The following is a 15,036-nucleotide window of genomic DNA, read 5'->3' as shown; positions in this document are numbered from 1 at the left end:
AAGATAAGGAAAGAGAAGAAATTAAAAGGAGATACACATGAAACAAATCCATAATATGTTAAATACTTCCAAAATCCAATTTGTAATCTTCCTCTTCTCTCTTTTCTTTCTCATGCAGTTAATGAAATCACAATTCTCCCAAATGTCCGTCTTACAACTCTGGAGTTATCTTTAACTGTTCTATCCTTATTTCCTACATCTAATCAGGCTTCATATCCAAAATACCTCTTGCACATAGCCCTTTTTTGTTCTATGCTGAAAGCTACTGCCCTTGGGTTAGGACCTCATTATGCCTCATATGTTCCATTACGATGGCTTCCTAACTGATCTCCTGGCTCCTTTGTCAAATCTGCTGTTCACATACTGCCAGAGTGATTGTTTTTAAAGCATAACTCTGCCATCAATTCCTTATTTAAAATTTTTAAAGCCTCCCCAGATTCCTTTAGAATTAAGTCCAGATTCTTCTAACTTGGTCCTTTTCCATTTCCACATACCTTTCCAATTTTATTTTCCGTAGTCCCCTTACATTTTACTAGACAGCTTGCATATTTCTCCAAACCTGTCATTCCTCTTTGGCCTTTCATCTATGTTACTTCCTCTCCCTAAATACAAAACATTTTTCCTCTTCGAATTTCAAAGTCTGTCCTAGTCTAACTCAACGGACGCCTGTATCAGAGCACTCAGGATTCTCCGCTTTTTAAGGCATTTATCTTTGTTTCATCTCTTCCCTGCCACATTATAGACCCTTTGAGGGCACAGGTTATAGTGTATTAATTAAAAAAATCAGAACCACTCATAGTTCCTAGTATAGTGTTCTGCTAATAACATAGCCTAAATAAATCTTTGTTGAATTCATTAAGCCTCTAAGTGTGGAAAAAAATGAAACAGTCCAAAGATGAAAATGTCTTCACTGGTAAGGGAGAACAAATACCTGGAATCTATGGCTACGGAGCCTCTACTGGCACATGACAGGTACTTTGCAGCTATCTAAAGGTTATCAGTGGCTCAAGAGTTCCTGCCTCTTTCAGTGGACTTGGTTTGTTCTGGAATATTACTCTGGACACATCTTATCTTGAGAATCTAGGCCCAACCTTCCTCCTCCTTGCTTCCCCAGCAGAATGAAGGGAGAGAGCATGAAGCCAAATTTCTTTGGTAGCTTATATGGGGAAGGCAAGAGCCACTTCGCACCCTGTAAGAGCAACTCTCTGATTCTGACCCAGCCTTGAGTCTGAGTCTGTGGAAAAAAATCTTACTTAAGGGATACAGCTAAAGATCCAGTAAGTCTCTGACTGAGCTGTAGTTTGAAATCTTAGAAGAAACCTAATTTCTTCCTAATTAAACTACCCTCAGCTGCTCTGGCCTAGGCATAATTCTTCAGGAGGTTGGTTTTCTTGAAGGAAAGTACATGTGCTTGTGGATGTAATTACCGACATTTGCGTCCAGTTTACTAATAGTGGAGGCTAACTGGAATGACTGCCTCTGTCTCTTGCTTCAAGTAAATGCTCAAGCTCCACTAGATGGCACTGCAGAGTCACCAGTGATGAGCTTTTTCTACTACAGAGGTCCATCATCAGCAGCCACTGTTATGCACAGGTGATAGAGGTCACAGCAACCAACAGGAGCCTGACGTACTTTATGATGGTGGTGTGATCATCATCTCCTTTAACTTATTTCCCATTCACCAGGAATTTGTGGATGTTGGTAAGTGTCAAAAGGAATTTATTACTACAGGGTAATAATCTTGATCCCCCAAATAGCATCCCAGAGTCAGCAGGGATCTTCACTGGCATTTGCCTCCTTTGAATTCAAGAAAAATATTAGTTGTGCAGGCTTACAAAAGAATTGATAAAGTCAGAACACAATCCCCGGAAGATGAACATTTATTGAGTATATATTTTTAAAAAATCAAAGTTTGGAGACTACTGATCTGAATGAGAATTTAGAATATGTTAATTTCATTTAAATCCCTCAAGTCATAAGGAAATAGAGAGTATCAGAGTTAAAAACATTACACTGAATACAAGAGGGGAGGAGATAGCCTTTCATTTTCCAACCAACTGGATTAATATCTGTTCTTAGCATCTCCTGGGATCCATTGCTGGAAATCATGAGTTCACCAGGTAATTATGGAAACTGGCCAGCCAGCTCTAGCATTCCAAGACTAACCTTGTGCAAGCAGAAAGTCCACGGTTCCTAGATGGCCTTCGGAAGCAGCCATCATCAGGGGAGTGCGGCCCTGCTTGTCTGCCATGTTGACATCAGCTCCATGGGTGAGTAAAAGATCAACAATCTGCAAGTGCAGAGAAACAGGGACCAATTAGCCCAAAGAAGAGCTGCTGAGAAGACACGTGCACACTATCTCTTACTCTGTAGGAATTCCTACTGCTGTACGAGTCACCCATGTATCTTTCCACTTCCCCCATAAGTACCTGTATAGTCCTAGTACCATGTGATTTAATCTCTCTCAGGGACAGTCAAATGAGAAGGATTCAACTCTCAATGTCTGACTCAGCTACTAAGTAAAAAAGAACTTAACAAAGGCCAAGATGTAGGATTAAACAATCCCATAGCGGAAGTTCCAACATAAATCACTCCTTTATTGCCCTCTAGTGGTTGCAAATCTGCCTGTAGTTAATACTTGCAACTGAACTGAACATAATCAAGTGACTCTGGTAACTCTTTAGGGCTGTTTGGCTTCTACAGCCTTTTTTCTATTGAAATACTTCTGAAGATTATTATCAGTGTGCTTTCCTTTCCATCCTAAGTGTATAAATTAACATTTATCCAGAATCCAAACATCTAAAAGGATTGTGTTGTTAGAATTTGCATTCACTGTATTTTCTTTTAGTAAGTCTCAGACATCTGCAAGTAAGTGATTAGCAGAAGTCCGCTGAGAAATGAACCTTCCAAGGAGTCTTTGGATGCTGTGAAATGTGAGAAGGAGGTCACTCTATCACCAGGACATAAGTAGTTAGTCCTTCTATACAATCTGTATCAAGTGATGGTTTTGAATGTTAACTGTCGTATTCTCAATTAACCAGAATACTCATAACAAAGGTCCAAGTCCTCAAACCTGATCACTGCTGGGTAACCCAAACTTTACTTGTGATCATTTTGCTCTGTGCATCAGAAGTCCTCACCTAGAACTCAGTCCTGCCTGAGGGACTGGAAGTGGTCGCCCTGCTTACCTGCCAGTGGCCCTGGCGCACTGTGCTGAATAGTGGCACTGCTCCTCGGCGGTTTGGCTGGGCCACTGCCGCCCCTTGTTCCAAGAGCAAACGGCACACCTCCAGTTTGCCCCTTCCGGCTGCAGCTGTTAGGGCTAAGGGCAGAGAACAAAGATTGAGGATAGGTGGTTCTGGTCCTCTCCAGCGCTCCATGTTAAACGTGACATATCCTTGTGTTTCATTAATGTAATTGCTACTTTACTTCTAAGAATAATGATTTTTGCCACCTTTTCCATAAAGAAAAGTTCTAAAGAAAAATAATGAATAAAGACACATTTAAATTGCCTCACAATATTTGGAGACAATAATAATAAATCTATTGAAAATTCACCTTTAATCAAACTCACTTGGTTTCATTTTTCCTAACCAGACTGTCTTCTCTGCTTTGGTCTACCTCTCCTTTGGTACCTCTTCCTAGCTACAAACTCTGTTAGTCTACGTGTGGGTGGAATCTAAAGACAAGAGTCTTTGCAGAGATAAAAAGTTTTTTTTTTTGTTTTGTTTTAGAATTAGCTGGGAACTACCTCCAGCCAAGCTCTACCCCTGGGCTCTTAAGCCTAGAGAACCAAAGTTAGGAATTGCAGTCCAAGGTCTTGGGCCAGTTTTCATTCTTTTTCTTCATTAGTTGATACAGAAGTTTCTGGTACATTTGCAATCATTTTTTATATAAGGATTTGAATGATTCAAGGTAGCAGTCTTAAAGATGAGAGAAGAGGTATGACAAAGACTATTTTCTTCTGAATATAAAATAATGAAGTCACAGGTAAAAATAGCTACAGTGAGTTTAAGAGACACATTAGGAAAAAAACAGAAACATTCTTCTTTTTGTGCCACTGTCCACTGACAATATGATCTCTGATACAAAGGAGATTTTACGAACGCCTATTTTGTCCTCAGAGTGTCGTTTCAACAGTAGAAAGAGGAGTTTGGAGATATGAAGTCTATCTTTTAACAAATATGTATTTGTTTCATTTAACCATGGGCTCTCAGGTGCACAAGTCTATTGTTTTAAAAAATGAGGGGTATGGAGGATGGAAACACTGTTAGAACATGTAGGAGTTATACTTCATTTTAAAGGAAGAGGATAAAGATTTTTTTTTCCAAATTGACTTAAAAAATTGATGTAGTAGTCAGCAGGTTCTTCTTTTATTATGGCCTCCTACTCCAGTAACAAACCAGAAAATGATAATATTTGGCAGGCACAGATACTGCAGTTTGCAAACTTTAAAACGTATTCAGAGAAGCAAGTAAAATTTACATCAAATGGACATTTGCATTCATTTCCACTTAAGTGCAAATTATGGCATTTTGTCTCTGGACTTGGCCAAATTTATCCACTACTGAGTCATATGCAAAATGAAAACTACCTGTAATTTCCGCAAGTATAAACCTTCAAGTAACATTTTCCTTCCTTCTGCAAGGATAAGAAGGACTTATGAAGTAAAATGTGGTAATTTTAGAAGATACATGCACTCTTAAACCAGTTCTATCTATGGCTTGTCTTATGTGTATTTTCAATTTTAGTTGGAACTCCTGACATTGGCATTTCTTTTCAGTTCCTTACGGGAGGGCAGTGGCATGGTCCTATCTGAGGTGAGGGTCATTTCCATCCCTGAGTGGGTGAGCTCAGGTGTTAATGGCTATAATTATTTCCTGGACAAAGAAGTTTTATCTCTTGTTTTTTAAATATAAGTGATGCTCCCTCTTTCTCAAGTTCATATTTCTAAAAGGTTAGAAAACAAATTGTGAGTTCTATATATGGGTCAGAACACAAGAGTAGTTTAATAATTTGACTGGATAGACACTTACTAGGAACCATAAGAATTATCTCGGTGCATAAAACAAACCATTTGGAAAATTTCTAACCCACATTCTAAACTCGTTTAAAGTAGTTACTAGGTTGATAAGTTTGCAGCAAACCTCTGTATGTGAGGGTGCCAAATACATTATTTTTCACGAAAGAAGTTACAGCATCCTAGAGAAAATACAGAATTTCAGAATGAAGCCTCTCACTAATGATGCCAGTTCACAGAACACATCTGAATATTCACAACCAGTGACCATCTGGAAAGCCATACTGTCCAGTCTGACAATTCTATGGCTCTGGCTGCCCCATTTCTCCCCACTGGATAACACATTTACATGTGAGGGAATGTTCCATTTGGCCTTTTTCTTTGTTGTATCATCTCTGTTGTTTAGGTTATGATGTCATTTGGCAGCAACCTTCAGCTGATAGCTGGACATGGTTAACACAGCTGGCCAATTTCATCTCAGAACAACACAACTATGTAAAATGGAGTCTGGGCTTTTCAAAATCCAAGAGCAAGGAGTTGTATGGCTGGATTTTATATGAGATTTATCGAAAACTGTTAAAACTTTCTAAAAGAAAGGAGATGAAGGTAAAGCCAATTCTATAAAACACCAAACTGCAAACAGAGCAGTTAGGAACCAACTTTCTTCCTAAAAGAGCAGTAACAGAATTTGTTTCCTAGCTTGTCAGCATCTGACGAGATGATCTGACAGAAATGGTCTTTTTTCAACGGGAAACATCTAAGGAGTTGGAAGAGGCAGACAGGATGTAGCTCAGAGTTGGGGAAACAGCCAGAGTCTGCTTGGATGGGATGCTGACACTAAAGAGAACGCAGAGATACACATGACTCTTTCATCTACTTTCAACCTTGGAAGAGTCCAGCACAGACAGGTCATGTAAGATCAAGGGGTCGGGTAGGAGGGGGAAGTGGCTGGGGAGAAATAAACTGATCACTGCTATTCAAAATGACATTAATAAAACACTTATTGAGCTATATGTCAGACACTGCTCTCAAAGAACTCATGGTTGAGTAAGGAAACAGACGAATATGTTAATATAGTGTGATATGCACAATGGAGATATGTCCTTGGTATGAGGGAAGGCACAGAGGAAGAGGTTTCTGAGATGGCCTCCAGGTAGAGATGATAATGTGAGTTAGATGCTGAAAGATGAACAGGAGATTTACAGGCATGGAAGGTGTGGGGTGGGCCAAGGGAGAGCATGAATAAAGGCAATGAGGGGAAAACAACATGTTTACTGTTATTGGAATTACTGGAGAAGACAGGCAATATATGAGACTGGAGGTTATTACTGGTCTTTTTATGCTACATTAAAGGACTTAATCCTACAAGTAGTAAATGAAGGTCAGAAAGCAGGAAAGTGACACAAACAGACTATGGCTTAAAAAGACCACTTTGGCTGAAGTCTGAGAGATGTATCACAAAAGGGTGAGGCTAGAGGCAGAAGCTCAATTAGGAGGTAGCTGCAATAATCTAGGCAAATGATGATGAGGGCAGGAATTAAAGGAATCTAGTAAGTTTATGTCGTAAACTCTGGTTTCTTTTTGGGGCCATGTATTTCCAGGGTTGGCCTCCAGAGTTGCTAGAAGCTCTCAGCGCTGGTCCTGGTCTGTGCCCACAACACAAGGGAGAGGAGGGTGTGGTGAACAATCTTGTCACCTTGTTTGCTTTTCTTCTGTGGTGTTCCCTAAGAAGTCTGTGAAAACTCTACGGGATGGGAGGGGGTCAGCAGATAGTGAAAGCTGGATGTAAGATGATGACATCTGGAAAGATAAAGAGGCTGCAAATGGAAGATGAAAGCAACCAGGATGCTCTAGTGATCTGCCTTCAGAAAATCTAATATGTAAAAATCACATCCCAATTAATATTCTAAGATTCACTTTCTCCCTCTACATTTTAACATCTCTGAAATTGGAATGCATCTTACAGTTAATGTGATAATAAAGAATTGTGTCAGTATAGTTGGCAGAAGTTGTTTGTTTTTGTAGTGGCACATAAAATAATGGCTACATAGTTTCTTAAAGTTAATGGTGTCTTAGATTTGATAGAGTAAGTGATACATATTATAGGAAACATCACGACCATTGTATTTTCCTTAGGTTAAAAATTGTCACTTAGGTCCTGGTTGCAGATATGAGCCCCCACCAACTAGCTTTGGGTCACAGACCACTTTTGTATGTGAAAATATGTATAGGATTTTGTCATGGGAGGAAGCATCATAATTCAATAGGTCATTATAAAATTTAAATGATCATGTGCTATAAGTTAGAAAGGCACATGTATGTTTAATAACCATCACAGTAGATAGAACAGTAAATCAAAGTCCATTCTATACTAGTGATGAGTTCTAGGGTCACTGCCACATAATAAACATTATTTTCCAGAATTTTTTCTGAAATAAAATAATTTTTCATAGATATAGAAATTGTATTACAGCCAGGCACGGTGGCTCACACCTGTAACCCTAGCACTTTGGGAGGCTGAGGTGGGGAGATCACCTGAGGTCAGGGGTTTGAGACCAGCCTGGCCAACATGGTGAAACCCCATCTTTACTAAAAATACAAAAAAAAAAAAAATTAGTCAGGTGTGGTGGTGCACGCCTGTAATCCCAGCTACTCGGGAGGCTGAGGCAGGAGAATCACTTGAACCCAGGAGGCAGAGGTTGCAGTGAGCCGAGATTGTGTCACTGCACTCTAGCCTGGGGGACAGAGTGAGACTCCGTCTCAAAAAAAAAGAAAAAAAAAATCATATTACAAATAAATTCCATCTTAACTCATGTTTAAGTAGCTCTTCATGTTTATAATATTATAATTATATTGTATATATGCATAAGTCAAACACAACACAATTCTGATTACAAGCAAACACATGAAGTTTTGATTTTTTAAAATCTTGAAATATGGTACATATGTACAACATTCACTGTAAAAATTTATTGTATACTTTAAGGAATAAAATATTTTAAAAATCCTGAGGCCATAAAATTTTATTCTAATAAGAAATTCATGTCAATAAAAATAAGTCCTCCATTTAATTCACGCCCTTCTTGAATATTTTTAAGGATTTCTTTCAAGTACACCATTAGAATGTGTTTGATATTCATCGCTATGACTATTAGTCTTGTAATTTCTATTCATTATCACCATGGGGACACGACTCTTTTTGCTGCTGTCAGTGGTTACACCGCCATGCCCTTGGCAACAAAGGGTCTGCTGGAGATGTGGCAACACTGTTGGAGAAGGCTGTGCTGATAGAAACACACCAACATGTCCCTCCTGCAGCTCTGGGTCACACACATATGCATACTCCAGAGCGGCTGATGTCCTGCCCAGTTCCTTCCCCTCAGCCTGTCCTCTGGCTTCCCTCAGGGTGGGGCTCCAGAGACAGCAGCTGTTTCCAGCTGTACACTTTCCTTTAATCTGTCATGGACTCTTAAGCTGCAGCTGCCAGGCATCTGCTCCCTTTGGATCTTACAAAAGGAGGGATTATTCGAGAAGCAAATTCCTGAGTTTTGGACCATTCCACATGATGTTAAAGAAGTCAGGAAATGTGTCTAAGACTTTGTCACGAGAAGAAATGCCACAATAGGTCTTTATAAATTTTAAATGAGTTCAAGAACCTCTTATTTTTAATAACACTCTTATCCTAACCCAAATGCATACCCTTCTTGTTTAGTAAAATATTCTCCCTAGATTGGCCATCTCAATATTGGTCTACTTCTCCTGGAAAATATCACACATATCTGGGGTTACTCTACAGTTTTCATTGCCCTGGTTTCATAAAAACACATCCAAGGTTACTAATGTTTCTCCAGATGCTGCAGTTTAGACTTGGAGGGAAGACAACAATCATTTCCTGCAAAGGCCACAAGGAAGAGGCTTCTGTTTGCATTGTACCGAACGATACAGAAACTGATTTGCTACAGACCAACAGGAACTGCATGAGGCTGGGCATTCATTGTGCATCCAGATAGCAACTTTACTCATAATGTATTAGATTAATTGTGTCAGATACCACGCTATCACAGTAACATTTGGTTAAGCCAGAGGTGTGGGTGAAAATTTAACATCCTGGTTAACAAATGCAAGGGGAAAGAGTTATTTTGATGGGAGAAATATTTATTCCTAACTACTACAAGGATCACATAAAAAGGAGACAGGCCACAATAATTTTCTGCTCTGGTTTGGCACATTGTAAGGTAACTTTCAGTCTTTTAAAAATATTTGGAAACAAGAGAGGGAAAAAGTTTTGTTTGAAAGAAGACTCTGGTGCAAAGAGTATGGAGAATCCACAGGCAAAGAGGATTGAAAGAGGAAAACTGCTTGACTGTTTAGTTTGGCTGAATCAGTCTGCATTACAAAAGCCTGAGACAGAAGACTGCCAAATGTATGCCAGGGAAAAAATAAGGGGGTGAGATTCGAGAGTCCACACAAACACAACACATTCTTGAGGGCAACGTCCATGAGAGGTACCTGTCTCTCCCCAGAGACTGTCAAAGCTGTTGATCTGTGCTCGCTCTACTTCCTCTTCATCTTTTTCTGGAAGATCAAGTAGGTAGGAGACAATCTGAAACAAGAAGTTGTGTCAGCTCAAACTTCAGGTGGAAAACTATGCTACTGACACTAGCCTGTGAGGTTTGGAAGATGCTTGGATGATCCAAGTATCACTAAATCTCTTGCACACAAAAGGAATCAGAATTGACCGTCCTAATAAAGAAACTCACAGCTTCCATGATGAGCATTTGTCTTATCAGGTATGGTTTGCACATTTCTCTAGAATGCAATTCACTTATATAGCATGTGATTTTTTAAAAATTACATATTCTTCATATTTAAGTTAAAGAAGCAATCCTTCCTCCTCCCTATAAAAAAGCCATAGAAAATAAATACGAGAAAACTGAGGGCCTGTTTTTCTTTCTTTTTTTTTTTTTTGAGACAGGGTCTCGTTCTGTCACCTAGACTGGAGTGCAGTAATGTGTTCATGACTCACTGCAGTCTTGACCTCCCAGGCTCAAGCAATCTTTGCACTTCAGCCTCCGGATTAGCTGGGACTACAGGCATGCACCACCACACCTGGCTAATTAAAAAAGTTTTTTTTTTCTTCCCCAGAGATGTGGGTCTTGCCATGTTGTCCAGGGTGGTCTTGAACTCCTGGCCTCAAGTGATTCTCCTGCTTTGGTCTCCCAAAGTGCTGGGATTACAGGTGTCAGCCACTGCATCTGGCCCTGTGTTTCCTCAGAGTAAAGTGATTATCTTCCTTTTTCCTCTCAGATGTATAAGGACTGTTCTGCAACTAGTAAAGGGAGAAAAATCTCTAAACACAATGAAAAGTGACAGTTCTGTTTCTGGGAATTTGACTGAACACGGTTCAAAAACCTCCCACAGATGATAAAATTTAATATTACTTAACACTCCCTTGGTGACATGTCAGCTCAATTGATATGGTAGCTGTTTTGCTGATTATCCCATGCTTGCACTGGCCCATGAAAGCTGACTGTTAAATTCTCAGAAATTCTGAAAGCCAGTTGTTTATTAGAAATCAAATAGCAATTAAATAAATTAACATTAAAAACAAAGGTTAAAGAATACTCAAATCTCTCAACTTCCTATTATTTAACTATATCTTACTATTATCTATGCTGTTGAGGTTATTTATATTGATTGTGCATGTCTTGTCTGCATGGTGGGAATATTACATCACAACATGCTACTATGCTTCTCCTCCCCTCTTTGTTTCAGTGATGTCACACTGGTAGCTTGAAATTGGCCATGATGGGAGTATTTACACCCTTGAAACTGGCAAACATTATAAATCAGGGCTTCATTTAGTGCTAAAGCTGAAAGAGGATTCAGTTCAATGAATATAGTTCGTATGTGGACGAGAAGTAGTTTAACAGTAGATCACATATCAGATTTAACGGCAATACAGTTATTGAGAAAAGAGCAAACTGGGATGCAGCTCCATTTGTCAAACTTTCGTTATAAGTTACAACCACAGTTTAGCTAAAAATTTGGCAAAAATCAACAAAAGCTTTCAATTAAGAGTATTATATAGTTCATTATTATTTGTAAGTTGTGTGCAACATATTCTTTTTGTTTGTTTGTTTTTTTTTGAGATGGAGTTCGCTCTTGCTGCCCAGGCTGGAGTACAATGGCATGATCTCAGCTCACTGCAACCTCCACCTCCCGGGTTCAGGCGATTCTCCTGTCTCAGCCTCCCGAGTAGCTGGGATTACAGGTGCCTACTGCCACGCCTGACTAATTTTTGTATTTTTAGTACAGATGGGGTTTCACCACGTTGGCCAGGCTGGTCTCCAACTTCTGACCTCAGGTGATCCACCCGCCTTGGCCTCCCAAAGTGCTGGGATTACAGGCGTGAGCCACCACGCCCAGCCTCTTTTTTTTTTTTTTAATTATTTCAAATTTTATTGTAGATTCAAGGGCAGTGAATGTACAGGTTTGTTTCATGGTGTACTGGATGATGCCGAGGTTTGGGACACAAAAGTTCCCATCACCTGGTAGTGAGGATAACAACAGTTTTTTTCAACCCTTTCCCCTTCCTTTCCCCTCCCAGTAGTCCCCAGTGTCTACTGTTGCCTCTTTATGTCCATAGGTACTCAATGTTTAGCTCCCACTTATCAATGAGAACATGTGGTATTTGGTTTTCTGTTCCTGTGTTAATTCACTTAGGATACTGGCCTTCAGTTGCATCTATGTTGCTGCAAAGGACATGATTTTGTTCTTCTTACGGCTGTGTAGTATTCCACGGCAACACATTCTATCAGTAAAATTTATAATAAACGTATGCACACACAAACACACACCCCTGTTCCACCCCACACCCCTCTTCACAGTTGGTTGTTAAACATTTCCTAGCACACTACCAATTCCCTACATTTGCCACTATTATTGTTATTATCATTAATAAATAAACTGTATAATGTTTAACAGTTTACCAAGCATCCCTTACAACAGCCTTGTATAAAGGAGTTTATTAGCTTCACTTTGCTGATGGGAAACTAAACTTCTAAGAGATAGGTAAATTGTTCAAGGGCTAGAGTTAATGAATAGCGAGGCTGGGACTCAAATCTGGTCCTTCTGAGATTCTAAATGTTATGCTGTTCCTGTGCCACATTATCTAACCATGTGACTACACCTCAATAATTCATCTCTTTGAGCCTTGGTGCCACTGTCTGTTAAACAGGGAGGAAAACATGGAGAATAATTATATCATTTCCACGGTCCTTTCCAACTCGCACCTTTCTATACCTATAATTTGAGGGACTTTGGCATTTGAGTAAAGTGCTTCATGGAGTTTAATCTCCTTATTATTCAGAGCAGCGATCACGAATTCACATTAATTTGGTTGGCAATTTTGTCTTCGTGCAATCTTTTCTCCTGGTTTCCTGGGTCCTTCAATACAGAGCTTGAAAAAACAATCCTATTGCCTACTTCTTACCTCAGTATAACCCATGCTGGCTGCAGCAATGAGGGCCTGTTGGATGGCATGGCTCTTCTTAAATACTCCTTGCTGCTGGCCGGCCATCGTCCAGTCACACTGAATCAAAAACTTGACAACCTCCAGATGACCTCGGAGTGCAGCATGAACCAAAGCACACTGCCCGTTCTTATCCAAATGATCCACCTAAGAGGAGAGGACAGGAGATATGTGTGAACACAGACTTGTGGCTGAGCTCGCAATCTAGTCACATCCGCCACTGCACAAGCCTAGGCTACTAAGAATCATCCTTTCCACTCCTGGAACCAATCTCTGAGCAAATTCAGGAGACTCTGCTCAGCCTAGATTATTACTGAGCTACAACTATGCTAAATGTCCCTCTGGGAAGAACTTCTTTTCCTCAGAAAAGGTCAGACTTTTTTTTTGCATTCCAAGAAAAACAAAAACCAAAACTCTCAGTTTGAGCTTCGTCTTCCTGAGGTAAATTCTTCTTTGTCTCCTCAAATAGTTCATTTTAGACCAAGATTTGAGAAACTGGTAGCTCTGCTGGCATAAAAAAAATTATCTTTGAAATCAAAAAAGGGAAGAAAAACATTATGAAGCTACAATTTTTTGGCCTTCCAAAGAAGCAAAACATCTCACATCATGAATCATTTGACCACCAAACTTTGGCAAAGTCTGCTTCTCTCTTCCAGCAGGAGGGAGGACTCTCAAAGATCTGCCCCAAATGGCTAGAGGCACTTCTGGCTTAGTGCACCAGTAGCAGTCTTCATAATTTCAGTGTTGGTTACAAGTTTAGGCTGAAAGAAGACCCTGATCAAGATTGATTTACCAGAAGGGCCTTCGTTTCAACAGATGAGTAGCCTTTCATTAGATGAGTAGCCTTTTCTGGTAGGTAGGTGGTACTTGTCCTGCGGTAGTTAGATCAGTTGAAAATATAAGTTCTGTTTCTGGCTTTCCTACTGATTTCAGTTCCATCCAGCCATCCACATAGTGAATATTTACTGAATACAGAGTATGTGGCAAAGTACCACTTAGGTGAATAAGACAGTAAATATATAGGTTCTGCTCTCAAGGACTCTCCAACAAGGTAGGGGAGATGTGACCAATGTGACAAGAGCCTGTCCAACAAAGGAGTATACAATAAATTTAAAGGAATGTAAAAGTGAAATAACATTTCAGAGGAAGGAAAGATTAATTCCTGGCTAGAATCAGGAACAGATTCAGACAGAAAGGTCTATCTTGACTGGCTGAGATGGAAAATGATTAATGTATTCTACTTTTTGTAAGAGTAGGGCACATGAAAGGGAAGTTTAAACTCTAAGGCGGAAAAGGTCTTTTGGGACAGAGCATGGATATTTCTGAATGCCAGGCTAAGTGGTCTGAATTGTAACCAATAGGCAGTGAAGTCATTGAGTGTTTTCATGCTCAGAACTGTATTTTCAAAAACTAAGCGAATGGATAAAAGAAACCATGGCTCCTTGGAGAAATGGTTGATTCCAGGACTGGGGTAAGAGATGAGACTAGAACATCTTGTGGTGTCAGAAAGTCTGAAAATGCTCAAAAATTAATAGAGGGAAGTTGAAAGGACACAGGAATCAGTTTGAAGGAGTTCCCAATGGCCAAATCTGGGGCAAGGTGAACAATGAAAATGAATAATAATGGTAATGGATTTCAGGCTATGGAATAAAATAAATATCCATGACTTCATAGCAATATCAATAAATACTTGAATAAATACATGGGGGAGAAGGGATCGCTTTCCCTTTCAGTAACATCTCAATTAATACATGTTGAGGGAATGATGGAAGTAGAAAATCACTGTTAGGCAAACATCAAAGCAATAATTATTGCAGTGGCTGGGCATGGTGGCTCATGCCTGTAATCCCAGCACTTTGGGAGGCCGAGGCGGGTGGATCACCTGAGGTCACGAGTTCGAGACCAGCCTGGCCAACATGGTGAAACCCCATCTCTATTAAAAAATACAAAAATTAGCTGGGTGTGGTGGTGGGTGCCTGTAATCCCAGCTACTCCGGAGGGTGAGGCAGGAGAATCACTTGAACCTGGGAGGCGGAGATTGCAGTGAGCTGAGATCATGCCATTGCACTCCAGCCTGGGCGACAAGAGTGAAACTCCTCTCAAAAAAAAAAAATAATAATAATAATAATAATACTTACTGCAGCAAGAATCACTGATGGATCCTAATATTAGTGGACAAAAGTATGACAAGAACCAGGATGTCTGTCTTTCTAGTCTCAAAAGCATAACCCTAAAAGATATTTCTTAATTACAAAAGGAAAAACAGTAACTTCAGAGCTGAGAAACCTGGAAGACATTACCTTAGATGCCTGTTGGGGGTCAATGTCCTCCTAATTCTGGAGTAGGGATTAAGCTAGAGTGATCAAATGCTCAGAAGAATCCAGCGAAGAAAAAGACTTCTGAAATAATGAAGAACATTATTCCGTATTGGAGGCCTTTTTGGACAGGTATTGTGCGGTGGCCTTGGTATGTACTTTCTTGG

At 39.8% G+C, this 15,036-nt stretch overlaps 1 protein-coding gene and 1 long non-coding RNA gene across 22 annotated transcripts in view, besides 1 other annotated feature; one reads left to right on the top strand and one right to left on the bottom strand.

The window, feature by feature from the left end:
* The window catches only part of TANC2 (tetratricopeptide repeat, ankyrin repeat and coiled-coil containing 2), a 461,469-nt gene that overhangs the window by 19,260 nt on the left and 427,173 nt on the right, over nucleotides 1–15,036 (bottom strand). For all 21 annotated transcript variants that reach the window (XM_011524597.3, NM_001394998.1, XM_006721810.4 and 18 more), the window contains 4 exons: nucleotides 12,516–12,701; nucleotides 9,530–9,623; nucleotides 3,189–3,322; nucleotides 2,167–2,290 (listed from right to left, as the gene is read on the bottom strand). In XM_011524597.3, coding sequence (XP_011522899.1) covers nucleotides 2,167–2,290; nucleotides 3,189–3,322; nucleotides 9,530–9,623; nucleotides 12,516–12,701 — 538 coding nt within the window. The remainder of the gene's footprint in view (nucleotides 1–2,166; nucleotides 2,291–3,188; nucleotides 3,323–9,529; nucleotides 9,624–12,515; nucleotides 12,702–15,036) is intronic.
* LOC105371856 (uncharacterized) overlaps nucleotides 1–15,036 on the top strand; it is a 33,200-nt gene that overhangs the window by 5,987 nt on the left and 12,177 nt on the right. The gene's annotated exons all lie outside the window — the stretch shown is intronic.
* Nucleotides 8,162–8,456: a silencer, noted in NCBI's record as "tiled region #7022; K562 Repressive non-DNase unmatched - State 13:Ctcf". NCBI's record gives its function as "represses a minimal TATA promoter and a strong SV40 promoter by Sharpr-MPRA in K562 cells {active_cell/tissue: K562}" and the evidence as "EXISTENCE:reporter gene assay evidence [ECO:0000049][PMID:27701403]".

The sequence above is a fragment of the Homo sapiens genome, chromosome 17 (assembly GCF_000001405.40).
Source record: "Homo sapiens chromosome 17, GRCh38.p14 Primary Assembly".
In the NCBI taxonomy this organism is placed as follows: domain Eukaryota; kingdom Metazoa; phylum Chordata; class Mammalia; order Primates; family Hominidae; genus Homo; species Homo sapiens.
This window is presented reverse-complemented; position numbering and strand designations above follow the sequence as displayed.